Source organism: Homo sapiens, chromosome 2 (genome assembly GCF_000001405.40).
Source record: "Homo sapiens chromosome 2, GRCh38.p14 Primary Assembly".
NCBI classification, from domain to species: domain Eukaryota; kingdom Metazoa; phylum Chordata; class Mammalia; order Primates; family Hominidae; genus Homo; species Homo sapiens.
The window spans coordinates 153,507,245-153,526,290 of NC_000002.12; the positions used below are offsets into that span (position 1 = coordinate 153,507,245).

Below are 19,046 nucleotides of genomic sequence, written 5' to 3' on the forward strand. Positions count from 1 at the left end.
TATCCTGCATCATGTGTTTTCCTTCTTTCTTTCCTTCTTTTTTATTTTTATTTTTGGAGATGGAGTCTCACTCTGTCGCCAGGCTGGAGTGCAGTGTGCTATCTCAGTTCACTGCAAGCTCTGCTTCCCAAGTTCAAGCAATTCTCTTGCCTCAGCCTCCCAAGTAGCTAGGACTACAGGCCCGTGCCACGATGCACAGCTAAGTTTTGTATTTTTAGTAGAGATGGGATCTCACCATATTGGCCAGGATGGTCTCTATCTCCTGATCTCGTGATCCACTAGCCTCGGCCTCCCAAAGTGCTGGGATTACAGGCTTGAACCACCATGCCCAGGTGATGTTTTTTATTTCTTTAAGTTGAAGTTCACTTTTCTCTGGTGCCTGCTTGATTAGCTTAATAATTGACCTTCTGAATTCTTTTTCTGGCAATTCAGAGATTTCATCTTGGTTTGGATTCATTGCTGGTGAGCTGGTGTGATCTTTGGGGGTGCTAAAGAACCTTGTTTTGTCATATTACCAGAATTGTTATTCTAGTTCCTTCTCATTTGGGTGGACTACGTCAGAGGGAAGATATGGGACTGAAGAGCTGCCGTTTAGATTATTTTGTCCCACATGGTGTTCCCTTGATGTGATGGTCTCCCCATTCCCTTAGGGATGGGGCTTCCAGAGAGCCAAACTGTGGTACTTGTTTTTGCTCTTCTGGGTCTGGCCACCTGGAAGAAGCTACTGGGCTCTGGGTTCGTACTGGGGAGTGTCTGCAAGGGTCCAGTGATGTGATCTGCCTTCAGATCTTTCAGCCATGGACACCAGCACCTGCTCCAGTGGAGGCAGCAGGGGAGTGAAATGGACTCTGTGAGGGTCCTTGGTTGTGTTTTTGCTTAGTGTACTGATTTTGTGTTGGTTGGCCTCCAGCCAGAAGGTGGCACTCTCAAGAGCACATCAGCTCTTATAGGGAGGAAGCAAACATGCCCTAGGGTCGCCTGGTTATGTATTCAGGTTTCTCAGGCAGTGGGCAGGGCCATAGAGCTCCCAAGAGATTATGTCCTTTGTCTTTGGCAACTAGGGCAGATAGAAAAAGATCACCAGGTGGGAGCAGGGATAGACATGTCTGAGCTCAGACTATCCTTGGATGGGGCTTGCTGCAGCTGCTATGGGGGATGGTGGTGTGGTTGGTTCCTAGGCCGGTGGAGTTATGTTCCCACGTGGAGTATGGCTGCCTCTGCTAAGTCATACAGGTCACCAGGGAAGTGGGGGAAAGCAGGCAGTCACAGATCTGACTCTACACCCATGCAGCCCACAGTCCTAAAGGCTGGTCTCACCCCTACTGTACTCCCCCAACAACACTGAGTCTACTTCCAGGCAGCTGGTGACCAGGGCTGAGAACTTGCCCCAACTACCAGCCTCCCCGCTGATGAAGCAAGTTGACTCACGGTTTTTTAGCATCTCAGGGAGCCTGCAGCAGTGATCCAGTTCCTTCAAAGGGTTTATGGATTCTCTCAGCTTTCCTGGTATGTTGCTGCGGTAGTTCTTGGAGCAAAAGCTCATGATGTGAGTCTCCGCAGGCTGCTCTGTCTCCCAAGTGGGAGCTGCATGGTAGTCCTGACTCCTATCTGCCATCTTCCCCCCTATAAATCTCCTAAGAACTTTAACCCTTTTGCCGGCATGTCAAGTTTCTGGGTTCTCTTCCTCTGAGCCGTTAGCCCTATCACCCTGGAGTCCTGCGAAGGTGAAACAGACAAAGAAGTTGTCCTTCCCCAAGAGATTGGCAGGCAGTTTAAGGTTTGGGGAAATTAAACCCTTCCCAGTTTGGGGGATGCATCCGAGGGAAGTGTCTTGTGGTTATAGAAACGTGATTACCCGTCCAGGAAGAGAGGACAGAGGAAGAAAGAAGGAAATAGCGGGCGCTGTGTGTGGGGAGAGGCCAGGCAGCGGGAGCAGGTACTTTTGAGCCTGCGGGGAAACAGGAGCTTCCAGGGTCCCTGAGAGTGCAGGGCTGCCTCAGTCAGCAGCCATGGCTGGGCAGCTGCAGCTGCGTCAGGGAGCTGGGGCTCCCGCCCTGCCAACTGAAAACGGGGCGGGGCTTCCACCTGTTTCTGGTTCCCACCAGTTCCACGGAGTGCGCAGACCTGGCGGAGCCTCCCCTGCTGCAGCTGGAGTCCCCGCAGCGGCTGCTTCAGACGGGCCACCGCTGCCATCAATAGTGATTCCTTTGCTTATATTTAAGAACTTGAAACTGTTTTAATAAATAATTAGAATATTTAAAAGCACAGACCATAAAGAAAAACCCTAGATGAAATGTTTAAAGAAATGTTGTAAATAAATTAACTGAAACTTCTTGTTAAAAGTGTTATTGTAGATGGTCATTGAATTGCTTCTATATAGATAGGAGGTGTCAAATTCCAGCAATCAACATTTAACTCTCTGTGTATGTGTGTGAACTTGGTTGAGCCAGGCGTAGTGAATAATAGTCACTAATTACAACTACTTTCTTCCTCTCCCAGGGCTAGACCATGCAAAGCTTTGGCCCCTAAGGGACTCAGACCTGACTCTAGCAGAAGGCCTTTTATGTTTGCCTCAGGGGATTATAAAGTTTTTCAAGAAGCCTAGTTTCATTTCATTAATTGGTGATGGAAAAATCTCGTAATTAAAAATTTTTAGATACAGGGCCTAAATTTGTTTTCAGTGAGACTTATTTTTACTACTAAGTATATTTTTATCTCATTTTTACACTGCACTATGTTGTTTGATTGCACTTATTTGAGAAATATTTTGGTAGCAATACCAGGACTTGTCTTAAAGGAGCTGTGACCCTTTAGGGTCTCAGGAAATTTAGGAAAGAAACAGAGTATCTAATTGCAGGCAGAAAATGTTCCAGCCTAAGCATGACTCAAAGAATGCAAATCTCACAATGATTTATTTTAAGCCACAATATTGCAATATCATTTTTAGTCTGTCCCAATTTCATCTCTCCACCCAAATCCGAGAGATGTTCCTAACAAAAGGGACAAGGGTAAACGTTTCTGGGGGTACGTATTGTTTCCAAAAGACTTGTCTGGCCCTTTGATATTTTATTACTACAATAACTCCACATAAGCTACGGCCAGAATCTTGAGCTGGACTCATTTACTCAATACGTGATTACTGAGTGTCTAGGATAAGCCAGGAACCATTCCAGGCTTAGACAGAGACCCTGCCCTTAAGAAGCTTGTATTCTATCTGAGAAGACTGGAAACAAACACGTATATAAAGCCAACACAGGTAACAAGGAGTGTAGGCTAAGGAGGTGCTATTTTATGCAGACACACCAACGTTGCCAGGAATTATCAGCCTGGCGGCACATTAGAATCACCTGGGAGTCATGAACAAAATTGACCAAGCCTTTCAACTCACCTTCAGCGATTCTGCTTTAATTAGTCAGAGATTCTGATTTAATATGTTGAGGCCTGGGCTCTGTTGTAGTTTAAAAACTTGCCAGGTGATTCTTATGTGCAGCCAGAATTGAGAAGCTGTGGTCTAAAATAGGAGGGATAAGGACGTATCAGCAAAAGAGACAGAGACTGTGGTTGGCGAGGTAGGAAGCAGACAGGAGAGCCGTGGTGTAGGTTTCAACTGAAGAAAATGTTTCTAGAAGGAAAGAGTTACCCAGCAAATACAAGCAGAAGGAGAGAGTGGGCCACTCTGTGGTATCTCGCAATGGAGCAGACACTGTTGGACAAGAGCAGATTCACTGGAGAGGTAAGGATGAAAGACTGACCTAGGAGTTACAAGAGGGAGCGAGAGAAGCAGAGAGAAAAAGAATAACTCTGTCCAGACGATTTCCTTTATTTGGGAGCAGAGAAAGGGGTGGAAGGAGGAAGAGGATGTGGAGTTGGAGGAGGAGGATTCTTAAAAAATCTATTCATGCCTTTTGATAGGAGCTATTAAAGTACATTTGTATGGTCCTGGGAATGACTCAGCAAAAAGGAAGAAATTGTTGAGATAGGAGAAAGAAGAAATTTCTAGATGTCCTGGAATGTGGTGGAAGAGTTGGGGTCCACTGCAAAAAAAAAAGGGGCGGGGGTTGGCTATAGATTAGGGATGACCCAAGCAGGTTCCTATAGATTAGGCGTGATTCAAGCAGGTTCCTGTTACCTGTGGATGGGTAACAGGTGAGAAAACCGAGCATGGGGGTATAGATTCAGTAGGGTTTCAAGAGATGTGGAACTCCTTTTCAGATTATTTTTGTATTTCTTTTATCTCCATGAAATAGAAAGCCAGGCAGGGGAATGCGTTAGAGGTCTGAGGGAAGAACATAACCACTCTAGGAAAAAGGGAAAGTTATTGGATCTTGACCACAGGAGGTTAGTGTTCATGAAATTGAGTTTATGCTAGTTAGCGTGATTCTGTATTTTTCACTAGCCACAGTCAAATGTGTTGGGTACAAGTTCAGAATAAATGAAGTGGATAACAAGATGACTGATTTTGCCAGGGTTGTAGTTTTGCCAAGTGAGTACTATAAACAAGACTGAAGCGGGAGTTTTATGGGTGAGTATAAAGAAGTATTTATATTGATAAACCATGTAATCCCACATTGGTAAGAGAAAATTAAAACACAAAGGAAATGAGAGGTAGGGATAGGTGGTCAGCCAAAATAAATTATATCCCAATGGGGTTGAAGAGGAACTGGAGTCTGGAGTCCAGTGTCTGGGAAAGATAAGAGGTTGTAGGCAAAAAGGAAAGTTCTTGAAAGGAAGATTATGGAGAAGGCACAGTTATTGGTAATCTGCGTATGTATGACCTACAATGTAACCATGGGGAGAGGGGCTGAGATATGATAGGGTCAGGGTCAATGGAGGAGTTGGGGATAACTGAACGGGGAAGTCATGGAATTGGAAGGCTTACCTATGAGGACATTGAAACCACTAAAACCCATGGCGGGGGAAGCACTGAAGAGAAAGACGGTTATTCAGATCCAGATCTTCAATGAAAGGGAGGATGACCCTAGAGTTTGTAGTTGACTGCCACAAAGCAATGTGGCAGGTGGTGTAGACTTCAAAACTGGGTTTTTAGAGAAGAGAGGGTCAATTGTTTGAAAGCAAAAATGAGAAGTATGAAGAGCACCTACACCACTTCTAGACACCATGAACAATACCCGTGGAAGTAAAAACAGCCATGCTTCGTGAGGGCTACAGACTTTTTACACTAGATGAGAGTGAAAGCAGTATTTGTAAATTCATTGACAGCAGCAATATGTCATGGTGGTTAAGAGTGTGAGCTCTGGAGCCTAACTGTTTATATTCCAGTCACACTTCCTTTGCTTACTAGCTTTGTGACATTAATGCCTGAGTGCCTTGTCTTCTTTATCTATAAAATTGGGAGAATAGCAGTATCTGTCTCCTAGGGTTACTGTGCAGAGTAAATGAGTTAATACGTGTTAAAACACTTAGGATAACACCCGGCACATATTAAGAGTATGCAGTTAATAAATGTTAGCCATAATGATGATAATTAGTCATTTTTAATTTGCTTTTGAGGGGTAAAAAAGATTATTATTGTTGTTATTATTATTACTCATTTTTAATTTGCGTTTAGGGGACAGAAAAACAGATGCCTGGCAAAGAATGAGTAAAACTGTTTTCTGCCCAGCTGAGTTTATTCCAATTTCATTTGAACATTTGGTCCCCATATGATATACATTAGGTTTCTGTAGCATCAGTTCCCTGTAATATTAATTGTTTTCAACACATGTTATTTGCTAATTTAAAAAAAATTCTAAAATATTCTGAGAAAAGAAATTGTAAATAAGGGGACGATCTGTTGGATGCTTGAGTCCCCAGCATAGTATTGAATTTTAACCCATAGCGTAAAATAAATACCTGTTGAGTACATATGATAGAAATAAATAATTGGATAAATTAACTTCCAGGTTTTTGTTTTTGTTTTCAGACTCTCATGTGTTCTTCTAGGTGAAATATATTTCTCGTAGACAACTTATTCATCGTCCTTTTCTCTTTCCCATTTGAGTGCTTCTGAATCTTATTTAATTACTTTCATAGATTCATATTTATTGAAATTGCTGCTTTGGAAACTTAACTTTGCCATCTTATTTAGAGAAGTTGATTTTCCACAAGTCCTATTTGTTTTGTTTCCCTTACTCATTCCCCTAAACACATCAAATTATCAGACTCAAACTTGTGCTGTTTTCTTTTTCTTATTAATCACTAATGCTTGTCAATATCTATGTCTATCTCCTGAATAAGAAAATAATCTGAGCAAATTTTCACTTCCTTAGGTCACTACCACCTACCCTCTTCCTCAGTTAGTTTGGTGCCTAAGTTTTAGTTGTGTTTATTTTTCCATTGGTCATCTTTCTCTAGAGAACAAAACACTTCAGTAATTCCATTATTCCTTTACTTTCATACTTGTTTCCATTCCCATACCTAGGGCTTTTCCCACCACTCAAGCTCAGGGGAAGTCCATGGGTTTGGGATCTAGCTGAACTGGAGGCAAACTGACCAAGGAGGCACAGGAAAGCAGAAGCTGGCAGACAAACCCTTCTCATTTCCTAACCCGGAAGACACTTGCCTGTCTGGAATATAATAAATATAACTAAGCCTCCAGCTGCGGTTTTCTGTGTGTTTGAAGCGTAGAGAACTTGGAAACACACCACCTGTACTTGCTTTCCCTGCTTCCTTTCTTTACTTTCCTTTTCCTCTCATTCTTGCCACCCTAGAATTGTAGTTTCTAAAAGATCTTTAACCTGTAAGGTTTGTCTCAAGCTCTATTTTCTAGGGGATATTAAAAACATTACATTATTTCCAATCTAAAGTTTTTAATTTTTTTTCTCTAATTCTGGGGAATTCATTTTTATTATTCAAATTATCTTGTTTAGTCTTTCTTAACACTTTTATTTTCATCCTCATATATCTTATCTCCTTTCTTTCCTCTCTTTAGCTCTTACCCATTCCTATTTGAAGAGTTTCTTGCCATGACATTCCAGCTTCTGAAATCATTCTTTAGGCCTATCAATTTTTTAAAACACATCCATTGGGTTATTTATTTCGGTGACTATATTTCTCAAGCCCACTGTTGCCAATTGATTGTTTTCATACTTCATCTTCCTGCTTCATTTTGCTCATATTTTTCCCATCTCTCTGAAAGCATTTGGTCATTTTATATTCTTACTCTTTTTGTTCCATTTGTTAAAGTTCTGCTTTTGTAGTGTCTTGCCAAACCTGTCAGTCACTTTTTGCCAAGAATGGTAACCTTGAGGGAAGGATAAAAGCCTGGGCCCTGATTTCTGCTCCTGCAGGAGAGTTGAGGGATGTGAGATGAGGACCTTTTACGGATGGGCATTTCTGGGTTCACATCTCCCCTCTCTTCTCCTCCGCACTCTCCATCATTCCTCGCTCCAGAGGAACTTACCAGGATTTCTTGCTCCAGTCCTCTTCATTATCCAGGTGCTACCATTCATGTTGCAATTGCCTATGGATTTTTCAAGGGGTGGGGATAAGGGACACTCAGATGCTTGTTCTTTATGCTATTGGCTGCTTCCTCCATGCTTTTGGATACTTGGTTGGATCCTGCAGTGCCTAACAGGTGCTGTGCTGAGAATGCTGCTTTAGTGGCCAATCATCCTGGTCAGTAATCGGGACGGGACAATGTGGGAAGAGCATACAGACAGAATGTTCTCCCTCTGCCCACCCACTCCTCCCCATCCTGTTTCCTCTGTCCTTCTCCAGGAAATCCAGAAGATGTTTATTGCTTCCCACCCAAGACCCCTAAGGGTTTTTAAGTGTTTTGGTTGGGAAGATGCTGAGAATCACCCTAAGATCCATTAACCTTTCTGTTTTTCTGGTCCATCTCCAGGTTTGGATGTTGGGGGAGGGAGGGATATTGTAGCCCAAATTGGTTCACTGTCTTTTCTCCACTGGCAGTATTAGAGGGGTTTAAACCCTTCAGTGACTTTCTTTAAGATACATCCTAAAGTGTAAATCACTTGATAGGTCATAGAAACCATAACCCTGATCTGGTCCCTCTTTTTCCCAGCCCGATGACCCCACCTCTCTGCCGTAGCTCCCTCTGCTCCTGCAGCAAATAGTCCTTTGCCGCTCATTGAACACATGCTGTTATTTCAAGCTTCTGTGCTTTGCACTTTCAAGTCCCTTTGCTCTGAAAACCTTCTGGCTTTATCTGCGAAATTCCTAGAATATGTTTACCCATTCTCCCACCATCAGCAAGCACTGAACAATCTTGATCATTTATTCAGGAGACAAATATTTGCCAAGCAACAACCATGTACCAAATCCTGAGAAATAAACTAAGGCAGCATCGGTGAGCAAGGTAGCCCGTGCCTTCTTAAAACTTCTACTGAGAAAGACAGCTTGGCGATTGACATGCAGTTATAATAAATTTAATAGCTAGACGATTAAGTATATGATCCTATGGGACCACTTAGTGGTGGTACCCAGTGCAGTTTACGGGAAGTAGGGAAGGCTTCCTGTACTAAATAACCTCTCATGGGTTAAGTTATGCAGAAAAAATGATCCAGAAGGTGTTCCCTGCTAAGAGAATGTTATATGTTGAAAGACACTAAGGTGAAAAAAAAAGTATGTGAGGAATTAAAGGATTCTCTTTGGCTGGAATATATGTTGGAAGAGTGGCAAGAGGCTGGATAGATTAGGTGCCAGCTCCACTATGGCTGCTGTTAGACGTGATAATATCTTACCAAAGGGCCATGACAGCAACTGAATGTTTAAATTTATTTTTGAGAAATCATTCTGCCTATTGCATACAAGAAGAACCGTAGGGGCAACTGTAAGACAAAGACCAGTTATGAAACTGTTGCATTTAATTCAAATAAATGATATGACTTGGATTAGAGTAGTTGAGGGCAAAGTTCTCATTATTCTATGCCACTTTGATCTACCATTATTGTACTTATTGCACAGTATTTTAATTATTTATTTATCAATATGTCTTCAAAAGTAGGCCTGAACTGTTTAATATAGCTAATATCCTTTTTGGAGTATGGATTCTCAGTGCCTGATAGTGCCAAAGTCCTCAGTAAACAAACACCTGTAGAATGAATGAGCGAATTATCTTACTGGATGATTAATTTGGCAGGATTGATTAAGGAGGTGGAGAGTTTGAAGGCAGGGAACTGACCAATTAGGAGTTAGGAGACTTTGCAACAGCTAGGAATGGGAGAGGATGTGTTAGATTTTGATAGGAATAAAGAAATGTCATTTATAGTAATAGGTTAAAAAGAGAAGTAGAAATAGAGTTTTGGGGAGATTACAAGTTAGGTGGTAGGAAGAGAGGGAATTTCCTGTCTGGTTTCTTCTGTTTCCTTAATGAAATATGAGAAAAAGGGCATGTGATGGAGGATGGGAGGATAGAGAATAATTGAAGTGAGAGAGGATGTGAAATGGCAATTTTATAGAGGGAGAAAGGGAAAATTCTCCCTAGGAAATTGTAGTAGCATCATGTGCTGAGTCCCATTTTTGTTTGACAAATAGTTAAATAATTGAAATAATTAAGCATGAATTCCATTTTTAAAAACTCAGATCTATAGGATATCAAAAAAGATCAGGTTCAGGGCCAAAAGATATGCTTTTATACTTCCTTTACTCCTTCCCACTTCTCTTTACACAGTATTCAAGTGCTCTCTTATCCTCCCCACAAATAACTTACTCTCTTGTAGGGTTTAGTTTTTCCTTACCTTCCACCTCCTTCTCCACTCTTTATTTTTTAATTAGTAACTATTTTTTCCTCTGAGTTCTTAGTATGTGTGTCCCACTATGGCCAGTCTTCTCTGCTCAGAATTTGGTTCCAGGTGAGAGGCTCAGAGTCTGGGAAAGAAAATCTGTGGGGTTTGCTATTGCAAGGGACTAGTGGTAGTAGGTGGGTTAGTCTATGGACATTCCCACCTTCATTTTTATCATGTCATAAAAAATAGTACATATACTCTCCCTGCCTTTTAGAACAGTAGGTCTCAACCATGAAACTGTATATGCTTACCTCTATGGCTTTTAAAATATTCAGTGGCTTCTTCAGGAATTCAGATTCAATAGACCCTGAGTGTTTTCAAAAGCCCAGGGGGTGAAACTAATACGTGCTCTGAGTTAAGAATTACTTTTCTTACTCGATAAAAGGAACCAGAGCTTCTAGGAGAAGTGATTGACTTCAGCGCTGGGACAAGAAAATATAGTATGAGGTTTGAAACCCTTTATGGTGCCAGAAAGCAGAGAAATGTTCAGAAGAGAGAGGTTTGTCAGAGAAACACAAGAGACAAACCTGAAGGAACTAATGGCCAACACTGGAACAATTCGAGTCAGAAAATATTGATAGTATTGAATTTTACCCATGGAATCAAGCAAATTTCCATGAGTCCTTACTACTATAAATGAATAATTGAATAAGTAAATGGGAGCTACAGATAGCTCTTCCTCACAGTAGAATTTCCATTAATGTAGAAGGAAAAGGGAAATAGAGAATCACCATTAGGCAGACATCATAGTAACACATATTGTAGATAAATATCCACCAATGTGTGCTAAAATCAGTTGGCAAAAGTTTGAAGAGAAAGAGGATGTATATAGTTTCAAGGTATCTCCCCTAGGATGCTCATCAACTACAGAGAAGAAAATAGTAAATTTGCAGTGGAATAACCAAATACACAGTGACTGAAGTGACCAAGGTAAACATCCCCAATAAGAAGACATATCAATAGCATGAAACACTTGATATGATGCACTGAGCAGGACACAACATGATTTAAAAAATGATTCGTGCCAGAAATGAGTATCATCTTTATGGTGCTGAGAAAACATGGTAGCTCAGGACAGTCACACATTTTCTTCTTCCTGGATATACTGCCCTCAACTCCAGACCCCTGTCCAATACACACACCCTGGCCCTTCCTTTGGTAGGTTCTTATTTTTTCAGTGTTCTTCCAATGACTTCAGACATGTTATCTGACCAATCCAAATATGTTCTTCTATTGTTTTTCTCATAGTTCTTTCTTCGTAGCCCTTATCATAATGAAAGTCACACACAATCTGTCTCCTTGTTTAGTGCTGTACTGCATGCTCTTTGATGGGAAGGACCATGTATATTTGTTCATCCAGGATACTTGATACCTGACATGGTTTCTGAAATGCGTATGGAGACTATAAAGATTTTATAAAAATGAGAATGAATAAGTGGAGAAACAAACAGAAGAAAAATCCTGTTTCTGAAGTAGAAATCCAAAATATACTAAGAAAACAAAGTCACAAGACATGGGCTTGAATCATGTCTGTTACTGACTTTATGTGACTAGGCAAGTATATTTTAAACCTCTTTGTATTCTAGGTACTGCTAAATTTATAAAGTAAAGGGTTTGTATGAGTTCTTAGTATTGGAGAAAGATTATTATTTTAAATTATAAAATTGTTATTTGAGTTCAATAACTAAAACTAGAAGTTACTGAACTAGAATAACTATAAATATCTATTAGATGGTGAAATATCTGGTATCTGGTTCTATAAATGTTTAGTGGGTTCCTAGAACAATAATTAACTTCTCTGAGCCTTTTCTTATCAGTCCCAGAGATGGAAAATGGGTTTCATATGAATTGAGAGCTCTACTGAAAAGGCTAAGAGCCTTGCATTGACTCAGCACAATACAGTACTGTAATTGGGTACTGTGATTTCTGACTTGGGCACAAAAGGGTGCATAAGACATATGCTAGCCAGATCATTTCCATCCTTGGAACAAATGACTTACTATATTCTTTAAATTTCTGCTAATTATGTCATTCTATATATGTTAAATTGTTGCTAAGCCATAGACTAAGAAGTTAATGGGTAAGTCTATTGTGTCCAAGGCTCCTAGGACTTTTAGAAACCCCTTTAGCTTAACTTTACTACAAATTGCTGCTATTTCACACGTCCAAACAGGATTCTGTTGATAAACTGTAAAATCGATATTTTCCATTTAAACGGCTTGATTTAATAATTCACAGGGTTGATAATGTTTATTACAAATTTTGATTGTTGATATTGTTAGCAGAGTTAATCTATCAATCCTGCAGGTCTAACAATTTCCTTTGAGTTCTGTGCTGAAATGAAAACAACTGGGCACAGCATGCCATAACACACCAAGTTAAAAGGATCAGGAAGAGTCTAAATAGGAAATTACAGTCAACAGGATAGTACAAGTATTCTTAGATTTCCAATTGGCTAACAATGATGGATTGCAGCGCCACCTGCTGGTCAGAAGCATTGTCTTTTTTTTCTTTTTAACTGTTTTATGATTTTGTTGCCCTTTCATGGGCTTTTTGCTTGTATGTCATCTATAAATGTAGGGTTTATTTAGATAAAGTTTCTTCTTCAATCAGTTGACAAATCAAGCCATTCTGTTGCTAGCTCACTTTTGCTATAAAAGATAGAGCAATAGGCTTCAATGGGAAATATTTCTTGTGATTAAAAATTCTCAACCTTATTTTTTCTCCTATTTTGTATTACAAATAGAATCCCCCTGTAAGAAGCTAAAGTTAGAGGAGTCACAAAAATGGAGTGACAAGGCACCATTGGAATCCATTACATTTTATTCCTTTGGGTTTGTTTTAGCACTTCAAGTTTAGTATTATTTCTTAGGTAAATCCAGAATATCTGGAGTGTTCTGGACATGTCACAAATTATGGCTAGCAACCCAGCAGCATATAATGTGGCCTGAAGATCTTCGTTTTCTTAGAGTCTGACTGCTTTGATTGGCTATTACTAACTGCAGATGTGGTCCATCTTTAATCTCTCTCCCTGTAGGGCTGGCAGCAAAGGCACCAGATGCTAAATTAAACTATTAAACATATGATGATGTTAATATGAGCCAGACATCTTCCTGTCTTACTAGAAAAAAAATTTACTCATTTAAAAATAATATTTAACAACATATTTGAGTTATTTATTTTAATGATCTTTGCACATATAATTTTTATTTCAGGCAGTAAGGTACCTTAAGGAATGGATAATTGTTGCATCTGTTTCTCCAGAGGTCATAAAAATAATACAAACACTAAGCAATTCAGGCTAGTGTAGATCCTAATTGGTTGGGAAGGTTAGCAGCTAAATTTTGTGATCTCAGGGCATCATTTGAGGTTCATAATTCTTCAAAATTTTCTGGTGACCAAAGAACACAGATATCTTTTCAAGCTTAGTTTGGGCTTTCAAAATTTTATGAATTGTTGGCTTCATTGAGAATCTAAAGATTTATTCAAAAATGCAATCTGAAGAAATCAGAACTCAGTCTGACCTCAGGAATGCTTCATTTCTTTATTTCTTTATTTTCTGGTCAGAAAAGGAGAACTCATCAGAGGTTCCCATGGAAGAGTTTTATCTTAATGCTCGAAAAATAAAAGTAAATGCTGAGAGGTTGGCGCATTGGCACCTAACATTTTCCTGCTATTGACTGCCCTACTGCTTTTCATTTCTCTTATAATTTATTTCAAAGACATTTTCTCTTCTATTTTGATTATTCCCAAAGTGATTTTAGAACCCTTTTAGTGGTACATTATTATCTTCATAAATTATTAGAATATAATAATCAAATCTGAATAATTTCCTTTCCGTAGACAAAAGTACATGAACAGAAGAGACCATGAGATATGTAAATCATAAATAGGTTATTTTGTTGATGAATATGAGCTCATGGAGATAATTGAATAGAGATTTCTTTTAAATTGCACATTTTATTAGTGAATGTTTATACATTCCCTATAGCTCCCAAAATTCCTTTTGGTGCATGACAGATTTAATTTTAACCCTATTTTATACTTTTAAAACATGTTATTATTTTACTTTAAAGGAAGACAGTGATGTTTAGGAAGTACACCTGAAAGCGCCATATAAAGTATCCTTGTAAGTTATATTTGTTCTATGTTACAGATGTTTTAAAGCATAGTCCTTCTTCTGAAGAGCTCCAAACATTCTTTTAACTCATTCTAATTTTTCATTAGTGTTTTCATTCTAATTAATTTACACAGGACCACTATGGTAGTGGATGATAAATACCATTAGGTTTTTTTTTTTCCTAATGGAAAAGCTTTACCATAAAGTTTTAAGTTGCTTGCCTAAGTTCTTATTGTCCAAAAACATAAACTACATCAAATTTTTAAAAGACTATTTTTGAGTAGTTTTAGGTTCAGGGCAAAATTAAGAGGGAAGTACAGAGATATCTCATATATCCCTTCCGTCTACACATGCACAGCCTTTCTCATTATCAACATCCCGTACCAGAGTGGTACATGTTATAATTGACGAACCCACAATGACACATCATTATCACCCAAAGTCCATAGTTTACATCAGGCTACATTCTTGGTGTTGTACCATCCTGTGGATTTTGACAAAGGCATAATGACATGTACCCACTACTATAGTATCATACAGAGTATTTTCATGGCCCTCAAAATCATCCGTATTCTGCCTATTTGTTCCTCTCTCCCTCTACTCCTGGCAATCGCTGATCTTTTTTGGTCTCCATAGTTTTACCTTTCCTAGAATGTCATATAGTTGGAATTATATAGTATGTAGCCTTTTCAAATTGATCTCTTTCCCTTAGTAATATGCATTTTATGGTCCTCTGTGTCTTTTCATGGCTTGACAGCTCAGCTCATTTCTTTTTAGTGCTGAATAATATTCCATTGTCTGGGTGTACCACAGTTTGACCATTTGCCAACTGAATGATATCTTAGTTGCTTCAAAATTTTGGAAATTATGAACTAAACTCCTATAAACATCTGTATGCATTTTTTTGTATGAATATAAATTTTCAGCTTCACTAGCTAAATAAAAGAGGAGCACATCATGCCTGTAATCCCAGCTCTTTGGGAGGCCGTGGTGGGCAGATCGCTAGCTCAGGAGTTTGAGACCAGCCTGGCCAACATGGTGAAAGCCTGTCTCTACTAAAAATACAAAAAATTAGTCAGGTGTGGTGGCACGTGCCTGTAGCCCAGCTACTCAGGAGGCTGAGGTGGGAGAATCGTTTGAACCTGGGAGGTGGAGGTCGCAGTGAGCCCAGATCGCGCCATTGCACTCCAGCCTGGGCGACAGAGTGAGGCTCTGTCTCAAGGAGAAAAAAATAAAGAGAGAGAGAGAGTGGCACAATAAGTGAGAGTGTGAGAAGTGAGGCACAAAACTAAACTTACTCATATGCTAAGAGTAAGTTTAGTTTTGTAAGAAACCAGTGTACTGTCTTCCAAAGTAGCTTTACTATTTGCATTCTTACCTGCACTGAATGAGAGTTCCTGTTGTTTCTGTTGGTGGTGGTGTTTTCATTCTGGATTTTGACCATCCTAAAAGGAGTATAGTGGTATCTTGTTGTTTTAAATTTGCATTTCCCTGAAGACATATGTGGAGCATCTTTTCAGGTACTTATTTTCCATGTGTACATCTTCTTTCGTGTGGTGCCTATTGAGATATTTGGCCCCCTTTTTAATTGGATGTTTTCTTATTTTTGAATTTTAAGAGTTCTTTGTGTATTTTGGATAACGGTGCTTTAATAGATATGTCTTTTCCAAATATTTTCTCCCAATCTGTGGCTTTTTGATTCTCTTCATAGTGTCTTTTGCAGAACAAAAGTTTGTAGTTTTAATGAAGTCCAATTTATCAATTCCTTCTTTCATGGATTGTGCTTTTGGTGTTGTATCTAAAAAGTCATTGATAAACCCAAGGACATGTATGTTATCTCTTCAAAGGTTGACAGTTTTGTGTTTTACATTTAGGTCTATGATCCATTTTGAGTTATTTTTTGTGAAGGATGCAAGGTCTGTGTTTACTATTTTTTTTTTTTTTTTTTTTTTTGCATGTGGGTGTCCAGTTGTTCCAAACACCATTTGTTGAAAAGATTCTCCTTTCAATTGCGTTGGCTTTGCTCCTTTGTCAAAGATCAATTGACTATACAGGTCTATTTCTGGGATCTATGTTCTCTTTTGATGATCCAAATTTTTCTGATTACTGTAGCTTTATAGTACATCTTAAAGTCAGGCAATATCAATACTCCAACTTTGTTCTTCTTACATATTGTATTGGCTATCTGAGTCATTTACTTCTCCATATGAACTTTAGAATCAGTCTGGTGATATCTACAAAAATAACTTGCTGGAATTTTGACTGGAATTGCATTGAATCTATGGACCAAGTTTGAAAGAACTGACATCTTAACAATATTGAGTCTTTTGTTCATAAAAACAAAACATCTCACCGTTAATTTAGTTCTTTGCTTTCTTTCATCAGAGTTTTATAGTTTTCCTCAGATAGACCTTGTACATATTTTGTTAGATCTGTACTTAAGTATCTTATTTGAGTGCTAATGTAAGTAATATTGTGAGTTTAATTTCAAATTCCACTTGTTTATTGCTGGTAGAGGGGAACGTGATTGACTTTTGTATATTAACCTTGTATCTGGCAATCATGCTGTAATCACTTACCAGTTTCAGAAGAATTTGTTGACTCTTGAATTTTATATATGGATAATTATATCATCTGTGAACAGAGTTTTATTTCTTCCTTTCTAATCTGAATATGTTTTACTCTTTTTTCTTCTCTTATTGCATTAGCTAGGACTTCCAGTATGATGTTGAAAGGCAGTGGTGAGATGACCTTGTTCCTAATCTTAGTGAGAAAGATTTGAGTTTCTCACTATTAAGTATGATGTTAGCTGTAGGTGTTTTGTACATATTTTTAAGTCAAGTTGAGTTATATATTTCCCTGTATTAAACATTTACTGGGAATTTTTTTTAATCACAAATGGGTGTTGGATTTTGCTACTTTTTCTGCATCTATTGATAGATTCATGTGTTTTTGTTTGTTTGTTTTCTAACCTGTTGACGTGATGAATTACATTACTTAGTTTTTCAAATGTCAAATCACCTTTGCATATCTGGCATAATTCTCACTTGATTGTGGTATATAATTCATTCTATACATTGTTGAACTCAATAACTGATATGTTGTTGAGGATTTTAAAATTGATATTCCTGAGAAATATTGGTTAATAGTATTCTTGTAATGTCTTTTTCTATGCTGGCTTCATAGAATAAGTTAAGTATTCCTTCTCTTTTTTTTTTTTTTTTTGGTGGAGCAAGATGGCAGAATAGAAGGCTCCACCAATTATTCCCCCTGCAAGGACACCAATTTAACTACTATCTACACACAAAGAACACCTCTATAAGAACCAAAAGTCAGATGAGCACTCACAGTGCATGGCTTTAGCTTCATATCACTGAAAGAGACACTGAAGAGGTAGAAAAAAAGTCTTCAATTGCCAATGCCACACCTCCCCCATCTCCCTGCAGTCGTGGGTGGTGTGGGGAGCATTTCTGTGTGCTGGGGGAGGAAGATGGCAGTATTTGTGAGCAGTGCAGTCCTGTTACAGTGGAAACGAAAGCCAGATCAAACTTGGCTGACTTATACTCATGGAAGGAGCATTTAAACTAGCTCTAGCTATAGGGGAATTGCCAATCCCAGCAGTTGAAACTTGAGTTCCTACAAGCCTGATCACCATGGGCTAAAGGAGCTCTGGGGCTCTAAATAAATCTGAAAGGCAATCTAGGCCACAAGGACTGTAACACCTAGGCGAGTTCTTGTGCTGAACTGGGTCTAGAGTCACAGGACTGGGGGAGGCACGTGATCTGCTGAGATACTAGCCAGAGTAGCTAGAGGAGTGCTGGCATCACCCTCTCCCCTAATCGCAGGCTATACAGCTCACAGCTCCAAAAGAGACCCCTTCCTACCTCTTGATAGAAGAGGGAAGAGTGGGGAGGACTTTGTCTTGCATTCTGGATACCAGATCAGCCACAGTAAGATAGGGCACCAGTAAGAGCCATGGGGCTCCTCTTTCAGGTCCTAACTACTGGATGACTTTCCTAGACACAATCCTTGGCCAGAAGGGAATCCACTGCCTTGACGAGAAGAAACCAGTTCTAACAGCATTAATCACCTCCTAGCTAAAGAGCCCTTGCGCCCTGAATAACCAGCAGCAATACTAAGGTACTACATTGAGGGCTCAGGCAAGACTCAGACTTACTGGCTTCAGGTGAGACTCAGCACATTTCCAGCTGTGGTGGCTAAGGGGCAAAACCCCTACTGCTTGAGAAAAACAGAGGGAAAAATAAAGGGGACTTTGTTTTGCACCGTAAGCACCAGCTTGGCCACAGCGGGATAGAGCCGGGGTCCCCAGTTCTTGGGCCAAGGACCTGTACTAGAACCAGGCCACGCAACAGGAGGTGAGCAGCTGGTGAGTGAGCATTGCTGCCTGAGCTCTACCTCCTGTCATATCAGTGGTGGGATTTGATTTTCACTGAAGTGTGAACCCCGTTGTGAACTTCACATGCAAGGGATCCAGGTTATGTGCTCGTTATGAGAATCTAATGCCTGACGATCCCCCACCCCCACCAGTATGTGAAAAAATAATGTGTTCCATGAAACATCCCTAGTGCCAAAAAGGCTGGGGACCACTGGAGTAGAGCACCAAGTGGGCCTTTGGGGTCCCTGATTCTAGGGCTTAGTTCTTAGATGGCATTTCTGGACCTGCCCTGGACCAGAGAGGAGCCCAGTGCTCTCAAGCATGTAAGTCCCAGGCCAGAGAGCATTCACCACAAGCTGACTGAGGAGCCCTTGGGCCTTAAAGAAACATTGTTGGTAGGCTGGCAGTACTGCACATGGACCTGTGGTGGTGGAAGCCGCAGATGAGGCTCCTCTGCCTTTAGAAAAGGGAGGAAAGAATGGGAAAGACTGCATCTTGTGGCTTGAGTGCGAGCTCAGCTGCAGTACAATAGAACACCAGGTATACATCTAAAGTATTGTACTTGAATCTCTGGCTCCTGGATGGCACTCTAGACATGCCCCAGGGCCTGGGGGAGCTCATCACCCTGAAGTGAAGGACACAGGCCTGGCTGGCTTTGCCATCTGCTGATTGTAGAGCCACAGGGCCTTGAGCAAACATAGGCAGTAGCTAGGAAGTGGTTATTGCATGCCTTGGGCAAGACCCGGTGCTGTGCTGGGTTCAGGTCTAACCCAGCACAATC

The 19,046-nt window shown here is 40.0% G+C and overlaps 1 protein-coding gene across 5 annotated transcripts in view, besides 1 other annotated feature; it reads left to right on the plus strand.

The window, feature by feature from the left end:
- The window catches only part of GALNT13 (polypeptide N-acetylgalactosaminyltransferase 13), a 1,388,282-nt gene that overhangs the window by 438,952 nt on the left and 930,284 nt on the right, over positions 1 to 19,046 (plus strand). The window lies entirely within an intron of this gene.
- Positions 1,566 to 2,068: an enhancer, noted in NCBI's record as "H3K4me1 hESC enhancer chr2:154365323-154365825 (GRCh37/hg19 assembly coordinates)". NCBI's record gives its function as "activates a minimal SCP1, AML or CMV promoter by ChIP-STARR-seq in primed H9 embryonic stem cells {active_cell/tissue: H9 hESC(primed)}" and the evidence as "EXISTENCE:reporter gene assay evidence [ECO:0000049][PMID:30033119]".